At 40.9% G+C, this 11407-nt stretch overlaps 1 pseudogene across 1 annotated transcript, besides 1 other annotated feature; it reads right to left on the reverse strand.

Annotated features, from left to right (window-relative positions):
* Nucleotides 1151–1365: a silencer, noted in NCBI's record as "fragment chr1:227880161-227880375 (GRCh37/hg19 assembly coordinates)". NCBI's record gives its function as "represses an EF-1alpha promoter that drives an FKBP-Casp9 reporter gene in an ReSE screen in K562 erythroleukemia cells {active_cell/tissue: K562}" and the evidence as "EXISTENCE:reporter gene assay evidence [ECO:0000049][PMID:32094911]".
* On the reverse strand, nt 5723–6398 carry ZNF847P (zinc finger protein 847, pseudogene; annotated as a pseudogene). The gene is made up of 2 exons (NR_036753.1): nt 6276–6398; nt 5723–5857 (listed from the first exon to the last, which is right to left on the reverse strand). The product of NR_036753.1 is annotated as a zinc finger protein 847, pseudogene (transcript).
* Nucleotides 6399–11407: the final 5009 nt, after the last annotated feature.

Raw genomic sequence — 11407 nt, forward strand, 5'->3', positions numbered from 1 at the left:
CCCATGCCCAACCTCTTGTGACCCTTCACTGTAAGGCAGGCTTTGACTGAGATGTTTATCCTCACCAGGTGCCTATCTTTAATGTCATGGCTATATTGTATTCTTCTTTCAATATACTGTAGATTCCTCAATGTATTTATTTTGGGTTCTCTGCCCTGATATCAAGACATAAAGTTGATTTTTAAAATATTGACCTACATTTAGTAAGCTTTTATTCTCATTTAGCCATTCTGCAAATTATCTGTAGATTATATTAACTGCATAATCATAAATTTTATACCTTTATCTATTTCACAGTCTAAAACTTAAAGTATGATGGTCTGTTATATCTGAATATGCTAGGCATACTTGAATTGTTCCCAGCCAAAAATGCTTTAAACATTTCATCTATATGTATGAAGGAAGCTATCTTCTATTTCTAGTTTTCATGAGTTCCTACAATTATGAGTAGTTGGTTGAATTTTTATGAAGGCATCTTATTCATCAATTGAACTAATCATTTATTGTTTTTCTTGTATCATAATGAATAAACCAAGGCTATAAATTACTTCTAATCATGGGTTAGCTGAAATGCACTTTTTAAATATATCTTAGTAGCCTTTATATTTATATATTTTCTAATTTCCACTTGATATATTTTTGTAGCTTATTGCCAGTTCATTTATAACACAGAAATGATTAACGCCACATCATAGTTAGAAAGCTGAAAGGTTAAGTTTTAGGTTTGTTGCCTAATATCCCAGAGTGACTGAAGAAGTTTCCATCCTTGCCACATTCTTACTTTTCTGTGGAAACGGTTATCTCCAGGGACTCTTGTCTCCAATTCCATGGTGTAACCAGCCTACCTACTGTGGAAGCCTATCAAGGGAAGACACCTCTTTGGTGTTAATTTAATGTATCAAGATGCATAAACACAGAATTTGGAGCACATCATGACCTTAATTATGTCAACGCATTTCCATGGATTTATAATATGCCTCAAATGTACACAATTTTAAGTTAGTTGAATGACTAAGCTAGTTGAATGACTCCCTGCACACTGAGGATTTCTCACATATTAGGTTTGACAAGTGTCTGTTACCTAATGTGTGTCCATGAGAACACACACTACATGCAGTCTCAAATTACAGTTTCTCAGTGAACCAGAAGGGACCACAGCATGGAACTTATTGGCTTTGAATCCCAGCTCCCTGATTTTATTTTAAAAAGTAATAATACTGGGAGTCTGTGCAGGAATGGAAGGAGTCATCACTGCTCCAAACATCCTGGGCCCATTGTTAGAGGGTCTCAGGACTGCATCCCTATGCTTGGGGGCCCAGAACAGCCTGTTAGGTCCTAGAAATGAGTAGTGTAGAGACCTGGGGTGTAGGTAAGCATTTATTGAGCACTTGCAGTGATAACTTTGTCCAGGACAAGAGGCAGTCAGCCCATTTCATTCTGTTCAGAGGCCTGCATATAGGACCTGTGCTTAACACCTACTCCACCACAAACAGGCTCAGATGAGGTAGGTTGTGGCAAAATACTGCCTTTTTTCCCAAAGGGCAAGGCATGATGTGTCTTCTCAGCTTAGGAGGGAATCAGGCCCTGCTCAATGGGCAACACTAGGTTTCTCCTCAGAAATTCTTAGGGGCTGGGGACTGACTTTCATTAGATCAGCATCAGGGTTGAGGGTCGCCACATATTTCCCTACCCTCACCATACCCTTCTGCCCCATCAGCTCCCTGCCTCAACACCTTTTTCTTGGCTGCGTCTCTATAGAACCATCCCTCCATGCAGCCCATTCTCTGAGGAACCTCCTTGCCCTCTTGCCTCCAGTCCCCTTCAGGAGCTCGGTTCTCTGCTCACTCCTTCTGGGCCATCCTTACCTCTTGCATGCTCTGGACTTGGGCAGGTCTTGACCTACACTTTTCTAGTTCCTGCTTCAGTCTGTGTAGGAAGGGATGAGGTAGAAGGGTGGGATGGGAAAATGAAGAGTGGGAAGAAATGGAGAAGCATCAGTGGGTGTGCAGACACACAGAATGTGGAGCAGGAGGAAGAGACCTCTTTGGGGCACATTCCTGGGGAGGGATGGCATGTGAGGGTTCCTCACCCACCTCTGCTGCAGCTGCGGCTGGTGCTGGGTGGTGGCTGACAGGTGCTCAGCCTTTTTATCCTCTTGGAACAGCTCCCTGGGGCTCCAGTAGATTGTCAGTACCTGTTACTTCCTAATTGCTCCCTCCTACCACTGAATCTTTAACAGGGGCAGTCTCCTGGCTGAGAAAGTCACTCAGAAATCCTGTGATCACTCTTGATCTTAGTTTTGAGGACTGGCTGATTTCTTTGTAGTTTCTGTCTTCTACTGAGTGAAATACACCTCTTACTAACTGGTGTTTCTATAATCTCTTGTGCTATGTGATTGTGGTGGGGTTGCAAGCTTGGCGTCCCGTCCTTCCCTTTCTGACTTGCAGGGGCCTGATCGCTAGCTGGGGATCACAGCTGTGGTTTGAAAATATTCAACATTCTTTGACAATAAAAACTTTCAGCTAAGTATAGAAAAGGATACAGTCAAATTGGTAAAGAATACATGAAAAACCCACAGCTAACATCATTCTTAATGGTGAAAGCCTGTGTAAGTATTTCCTAAGATAAAAAAACAATATATCCACTGTCACATCTACTTATCATTGTACAAAATTGAGGTGCTAGTCAGGACAATTTGGCAACAAGCAAAATTGAAATGCATCTATTTTGAAAAGGATTATTATACTTTTTTGTTTGTTTGTTTGTTTTGTTTTGTTTTGTTTTTTGAGACAGAGTCTTACTCTGTCACCCAGGCTGGAGTGCAATGGCATGATCTCGGCTCACTGCAACCTACATCTCCTGGGTTCAAGCGATTCTTGTGCCTCAGCCTCTGAGTAGCTGGGAGTACAGGTGCACGCCACCATGCGCAGCTAATTTTTGTATTTTTAGTAGAGACAAAGTTGGCCAGGCTGGTCTTGAACATCTGGCCTCAAGTGATCCACCTGCCTCGGCCTCCTAAAGTGCTGGGATTACAGGTGTGAGCCACTGCGCCTGGCCAGTATTACGTACACTTATTTTTATTTGCACTTGACCTGATCTTGTATTTAGAAAATCATAAGGAATTCACAACCTTAGAATAAAAAAGTTCAGTATGGTAACAGGATACAAGATCAGTATACAAAATTAATTGTATTTCTTGACATAAAAAATGAACAATACATAAAAGAAACAATTTTAGTTGCAATAGTATCAAAAGCCAAACAAAAATAATTTTAACAAAAGCAGTGAAAACTGGAACACTGAACATTACAATTCAAGGCTAGTGTTGTAAACACCTAAGACTCATCTCTGAGCCTCCTCCTCTTGGCTCTGACCACTTTACTTTCTTAGGGGGAGAAAAGTAATTGCACTTTTTGCGTTTATATTCGAGGTGGACTTAACACTTGGAAATGTGTATTAAACTCTCCCTTTTTATAGAAAGAACACTGAGACCCATCAAGACAGATTTTAGCAATCCTTATCAAAGAGGGCAAAATACAAAGCCTCTCAGCCTCAACCTATTACTGCACCAAAGTCAAGATCACATAAACCTGGATGACTCCACCTCAGCATTTTTCCTTCCTTCCTTTCCTTCCTTCCTTCCTTCCCTCCTTCTGTCCTTTAGTTCCTTCCCTCCCTCCCTATCCCTCTTTCTTTTTTCTTTTCTTTTTCTTTTTCATTTTTTTTTTTTAGATAGGTTCTCACTCTGTTGCCCAGGCTAGAGTACACTGGTGTGATCATAGCTCACTGCAGTCTCCAATTCCTGGGCTCAAGTGATTCTCCCACCTCAGCCTCCAGAGTAGCTAGGACTACAGGCAGGCACCACCATGCCTAATTGTTTGTTTGTTTGTTTTGTAAAGACAGAGTCACTATGTTGTTAGGTTGGTCTCAAACTCCCAACCTCAAGGGATCCTCCCAACTCAGCCTCCCAAAGTGCTGAAATTACAGGAGTAAGTCACCACACCTAGCCAGCATTTCCCTTTGAACAGGAAAAGTGGTAGTGGAAACTATGAGAAACCCGTGTGGAACTTCTTGTCTAAAGCAGGGAAGGAAAAGCAAAGTTCAAGTCTGTCTCATAAAAGAACTAAGTAAAGCTTGGGTGAAATGGGACCAATGGAATTTCAAAGTATGGATAAAAATTTATCAGATACATGGAGTATGAACTGGCTGAAGAATTATGGGGTAGATTTACCTCCATGACTCTGCCTTTGCCTCTGCTATTTTGCCCCATGATATACACTAGAGCAGTTTTTCCAGCTAAGATAATCCATTGAAGACACCCAAATTAGTTTACTGGGTAAGAACAAAATCTTTTTAATGGATTCAAAGACGGTTAACACATTAATTTCTGCTTCAATAAACTTACAAAAATACAGACAATTCTTCATGCATTAGGGTGCACCTGTTGTAAACAGACATCTGGTCTATAACCATAATACCTTTAATATATTAAAGCTAATTATTAATATTAATATCAACCACTTGGTCTACATTCAAATCTCCTAATTCTTGCCATAATATCACGGGTTATCAATCCAGGATTTAATAAATAAACAAAATTCCACAGCACTGTCATATGGACAAAGAGCAGTCTTGATCCATCAGGTCCTGATCTACAGGGAGCAAGACAGACTCTCTGGTTCAGTTCAAATCCCACCATCTTTCCTTTGGAAGTCCAGAAATCTGTCCTCTCCCACTGCTTCTCTGCAGGTGTAGAGTTGGATTCTGTGTCCCTGAAGGTCGCTATGCATAGGTGAAAGAGGAGCCACTGGGGATTCAGGGGAGCCTGGATATTGGAACAGGTGTGCCACCACTTGGTGGGAGTAGAAGCACAGCTGGATCTCAGACAAGATGGGGCCTGATTAGCAGGTGCAAACCATAGACCTGGGCCAGGGCTGAGGAAAGGGTGACTCCATCGGTGCTACAATGGCTGCTTTGCCAGAAGACAGTAACTTCTCTCAGAAAGTTCCTAAATTATTAGAGTGGGCTGTAGTGTAAAGCAAACAAATCACACATACAATGGCTTGAGAGATCAGGTATTTAAAGCACAAAGGGGAATTTCTTGGGAGTGGAGGTGGAAAGATCTCTACACTATTTAATTCCTCCTTTCTTAAATCAGTGACCAGGTCCAAACTAATGGCTCCCCGGTCACTCTGGAGGTCAGCTGAACTTCAGTCCTACAAGGCATAATAAATCAGGAAGGACCATCAAGACTATTGTTGTGAAGCCTGTAAATAATGTTCATCACTTCTATCCACATTATCCTATACAACTCTGTTTTACATGGTCCCAACCACAACACTGGAATGCCCAGAAATGTAGACAAAGTCTGTGTCCTAGATAAAAGGGAATGCTTTTTGAAGAATAATATCTGATGTCTTTCCTCTGTGACTTCTCTACTGTCTGCTAAGCTGTGACTTCAAGCAAAAGGTTTTTTCCACATTTATTACACAGGGTTTTCTCTATGTGAGTTCTCTGTGTCCAGTGATGACTGACCTTAGGCAAAATATTTTCCTACATTCATTACTTTCATAGGTTTTACTACCCTATGTGAGATCTCTGATGTTGGCTGAGCCTTGACTTCCAGCCAAAGGATTTTCCACACTCATTACATTCATAGGGATTTTCCCCAGTGTGAATTCTTTCATGTTTAGTGAGGTCTGACTTCTGGTGGAAGCTTTTACTACATACATTACATCCATAGGTTTTCTGCCCTCTGTGAATACTCTGATGCGACCTAAGGCTTGACTTCCAGCCAAAGGGTTTTCCACATTGATTACATTCATAGGGTTTTTCCCCCGTGTGATTTCTCTGATGGCTAGTGAGGATTCCTTTCTCATAGGTTTTCCCACATTCGTTACATTCATAGGGTTTCTTGCCTATATGAAAACCCTGATGCACCCTGAGGTATGACTTGTGATGAAACTTTTTTCCACATTCATTATGTTCATAGGGTTTTTTCCCCTATGTGAGTTCTTTGATGTACATTGAGATTTGCCTTCTCATAGAAAGTTTTCCTACATTCTTTACATTCATACGGTTGTTCACCTGTGTGAGTTCTTTGACATACTGGGAGGGCTGACTTCCGGCAGAATGTTTTCCTACATTATTTACATTCAAATGGCTTCTTACCTGTGTGAGTTCTTTGATGGATAGTGAGGGTTGACTTATGGTAGAAGGTCAACCCACATCCATTACATTCATAGGGTTTTTCCCCTGTGTGAGTTCTCTGATGCACCCTGAGTGCTGACTGCTGCCAAAATGTTTTTAGCAAAATAGGATTTTCCCTCTGTGTGGATTCTCTGATAAACGCTTAGATTTGATTTCTGACAGAAGGATTTCTCACATATGGCACATGGATAGGGTTTCTCTTCTGTATGTGTTCTCTGATGTTTTGTAACACATGATTGGCTAATGAAGGCTTTCTCATATTCACTATATTTATAAGGTTTCTTTCCTGAGTGTATTTTCTTATGTTCAGTGACTTTATGCTTCTTACTGAATATTTTCCCACATACATGACGTTCAAAAGTTTTCCTCCCTACCTGAGTTAGCTCTTGAGCAATAGTAGCTGACTCATTACAGGCTTTCCCACATTTATTAGATTTACAAGAGGTCTTTCCCATAGAAGCACTCTTATGTGTTAATATAGCCTCCACGTTGAAGGCATTCCTCCGTCCACTATATTCAAAACACTGTAGTCCAATTTGAATCTTGTGATCCTAAGATGCTCATGACCTCTAAGAAATGTTCCATTTAAATCATAAGCATCAGATCTCACTCAAGCTTCCATCTCATCAGGATCACCAGAAAGAAGTATGTTCTGAAATACATTAAACTCCTCAGATCTCTTTCCTGAATAGTTTCCATTATTTCTAATCAGTTCTGGTACATGGTTTGAAGTCAAACTACATGTTTTTCCTGATTCCACTCCCTTCTCAATTGATGGTTTACTTTTGGTAATTACAACTTGCCACAAATGTCTACTGTGACTTTCTTGGCTCCTCTCAATTATGTCATCAACTATCTGGACAGCTGAAGTAAGAAAAAAAATCATATGTATGAACCACACATAAGTATTTCCTATGAGATGCTCATGTAAAGGTAAATAACTTTCTTTCTTCCTTTTTTTTTTTTTTTTTTTGAGATGGCATCTCGCTCTGTTGCCCAGACTGGAGTGCAATGGTGTGATCTCGGCTCACTACAACCTCTGCCTCCTGGGTTCAAGTGATTCTCCTGCCTCAGCCTCCCAAGTAGCTGGGACTACAGACACCCACTACCATGCCCATCTAATTTTTATATTTTTAATAGAGACGGGGTTTCACCATGTTGGCCAGGATGGTGTCAATCTCTTGACCTTGTGATCCGCCTGCCTCGGCCTCCCAAAGTGCTGGGATTACAGGCATGAGCCACCGCACCCAGCTAAGGTAAATAACTTTCTATCCTAGTGCCATAAGATTTCATAAAAATCAATGGGTACTCTTTTTATAAGTATGTGGATTCTTTTTCTATTGAGTTAATTACACTAATAGATTATCTAATGCTAAATTGTTTTTCTTGCTTTTTTTTTTTTTAAAAAAGAGAGAAACAGACAGAGTCTTGCTGTGTTGCTCAGACTGGAGTGCAGTGGTGAGATCATAGTTCACTACAACCTCAATCTCCTGGGCTCAAGCAATCCTCACACCTTAGCCTCCCAAGTAGATGGGCCTACAGGCGTACACCACGACACTTGGTTTTTGGTGTTGGATTTTTTTGTAGAGATGGGGTCTTGCTATCTTACTAGGCTGATCTCAAACCCCTGGCCTCTAATGATATTTCTGACTCCATCCCCCAAAGTACTGGGACTACAGTCATGAGCCACTGATCCTGGCCTTTTAAATTCATGTAGAAATATTTAGTAAAAAATTCACTTAGTGTCTTGTATTTTTCAACTAAGTGCTCTTGACCTGCCATTTGCATTACCTATTCATTTTACCTATTTTCTTCTTATAACACTGGACCTCTCATGCTGGTATTTTTCTCATTCTTCTGCTTTAAAGATGAGAAGGTTTTCCTAGATCGGCTACTTGTAGGAGCAGGAGAGGGTTATTTGCCTCTCAACTAAGCAGGTAAAATGTGATACCCAGAAATCCCTTGTTCTCCTCCCAACTTCAGGACCACCCCCTTTGCATACCCCTATACTGGGTCCTCCTCACTTTCATGATTTCTGATGCTGTATACACAATTCTAACTGCTGGACTTCTCAGATTCTTATCAATTCCCTAGGTGACCTCATTCATAAGTGTGGCTTTAAATACCAACTTTCACCTCCTGAGACTCAAATTTGTATCTCCAATAGTGATGTCCACTCTCTAAAATTATATATCTACCTACACATTATATGTTAAATTTGGAAAACAGCTTCTCAAATATAAGCTATACCAAAGTGAAGTGTACTCAGGGTTTTATGTCAAAGGACTCAGATTTCCATTTGAAACTGAAGTTCAAAGTTAACATTTTTTTATCTCTTCATGAAAGCACTTCAAAAACACCAGACTGCTGTGCTGTCCAGCACAGCAGTCTGAAATAGACCTGGGACACTTGAGCTTGATGTGGGGAGGGGTGTCCGCCATTACTGAGGCTTGAGTAGTGGTCGTCCCCTAACAGTGTAAACAAAGCCTCCAGGAAGTTCAAACTGGGCGGAGCCCACCGCAGCACCACAGAGCTGCTGTAGCCAGACTGCCTCTCTAGATTCCTCCTCTCTGGGCAGGACATCTCTGAAAGAAAGGCAGCAGCCCCAGTGAGGGGTTTCTAGATAAAACTCCCACATCTCTGGGACAGAGCACCTGGGGGAAGGGGCGGCTGTGGCACAACATCAGCAGACTTAAACGTTCCTGCCTGCTAGCTCTGAAGAGACCAGCAGATCTCCCAGCACAGTGCTTGAGCTCTGCTAAGGGACAGCCTGCCTCCTCAAGTGGGTCCCTGACCCCTGTGCCTCCTGATGGGGAGACACCTCCCAGCAGGGGTTGACAGACACCTCATACAGGAGAGTTCCAGCTGGCATCTGGCAGGTGCCTCTCTGGGATGAAGCTTCCAGAGGAAGGAGCAAGCAGCAATCTTTGCTGTTGTGCAGCTTCCGCTGGTGATACACAGGCAAAAAGGGTCTGGAGTGGACCCCCAGCAAACTCCAGCAGACCTACAGCAAAGGGACCTGACTTTTAGAAGGAAAACTAACAAACAGAAAGCAATAGTATCAACATGAACAAAAAGAACAAACACACAAAAACTCCACCTGAAGGTCACCAACAGCAAAGACCAAAGGTAAATAAATCCATGAAGATGAGGAAAAACCAGCGCTGAAAATTCCAAAAACCAGAATGGCTCTTCTCATCCAAAGCATCACAACTCCTCACCAGCAAGGGAACAAAACTGGATGGAGAATGAGTTTGATGAATAGACAGAAGTAGGCTTCTGAAGGTGGGTAATAACAAACTCCTCTGAGCTAAAGGAGCATGTTCTAACCCAATGCAAGGAAGCTAAGAACCTTGATAAAAGATTAGAGGAATTGCTAACTAGAATAACCAGTTTAGAGAAGAACATAAATGACCTGGTGGAGCTGAAGAACACAGCACGAGAACTTTGTGAAGCATACACAAGTATCAATAGCCAAATCAATGAAGCAGAAGAAAGAATATCAGAGATTGTGGATCAACTTAATAAAATAAAGCGTGAAGACAAGATTAGAGAAAAAAGAAGGAAAAGGAATGAATAAAACCTCTAAGAAATATGGGACTAAGTGAAATGGCCAAACGTATGTTTGACTGGCGTACCTGAAAGTGATGCGGAGAATGAAACCAAGTTGGAAAACACACTTCAGAATATTATCCAGGAGAACTTCCCCAACAAACAAAGACAGGCCAACATTCAAATTCAGGAAATAACAGAGAACACCAGAAAGATAATCCTTGAGAAGAAAACCCCTAGACACATAATCATCAGATTCACTAAGGTTGAAATGAAGGAAAAAATGTTAAGGGCAGGCAGAGACAAAGGTCAGGTTATTCACAAAGGGAAGCCCATCACACTAACAGTGGATGTCTCTGCAGAAAGCCTACAAGCCAGAAGATAGTGGGAGCCAATACTCAACATTCTTAAAGAAAAGAATTTTCAACCCAGAATTTCATATCCAGCCAAACTAAGCTTCACAAGTGAAGGAGAAATAAAAGCCTTTACAGACAAGCAAATGCTAAGGGATTCTGTCACCACTGGGCCTGCCTTACAAGAACTCCTGAAGGAAGCATTAAATATAAAAAGGAAAAACTGGTACCAGCCACTGCAAAACAAACCAAAATGTAAAGACCATCGACACTATGAAAAAACTGCATCAACTAATGGGTAAAATAACCAGCTAGCATCATAATGACTAGTGAATTTAGGATCAAATTCACACATAACAATGTTAACCTTAAATGTAAATGGGCTAAATGCACCAATTAAAAGGCACAGACTGGCAAATTGGATAAAGAGTCAAGACCCACTGGTGTGCTGTATTCTGTAGACCCATCTCATGTGCAAAGGCACTCATAGGCTCAAAATAAAAGAATGAAGGAAGATTTACCAAGCAAATGAAAAGCAAAAAAAGCAGGGGTTACAATACTAGTCTCTGATAAAACAGACTTTAAACCAACAAAAATAAAAAAAGACAAAGAAGGGAATTACATAATGGTAAAGGGATCAATGCAACAAGAAGAGCTAACTATCCTAAATATATATGCACCCAATACAGGAGCACCCAGATTCATAAAGCAAGTTCTTAGAGACCTACAAAGAGACTTAGACTCCCACACAATAATAGTGGGAGACTTTAACACCCCACTGTCAATATTAGATCAATGAGACAGAAAATTAACAAGGATATTCAGGACTTGAACTCTGCTCTGGACCAAAAGAACCTAATAGACATCTACATAACTCTTCACCCCAAATCAACAGAATATACATTCTTCTCAGCACCACACAGCACTTATTCTAAAATCAACCACATAAGTAAAACACTCCTCAGCAAATGCAAAATAATGGAAATCATAACAAACAGTCTTCTCAGACCACAGTGCAATCAAATTAGAACTCAGGATTAAGAAACTCACTCAAAACTGCACAACTACATGGAAACTGAACAATCTGCTCCTGAATGACTACTGGGTAAATAATGAAATTAAGGCAGAAATTAATAAGTTATTAGAAACCAATGAGAACAAAGACACAATGTACCAGAATCTCTGGGACACAGCTAATGCAGTGTTTAGAGGGAAATTTATACCACTAAATGCCCACAGGAGAAAGCAGGAAAGATCCAAATTGAAACCCTAACATTGCAATTAAAAGAACA

Source organism: Homo sapiens, chromosome 1, assembly GCF_000001405.40.
Source record: "Homo sapiens chromosome 1, GRCh38.p14 Primary Assembly".
Classification (NCBI taxonomy): domain Eukaryota; kingdom Metazoa; phylum Chordata; class Mammalia; order Primates; family Hominidae; genus Homo; species Homo sapiens.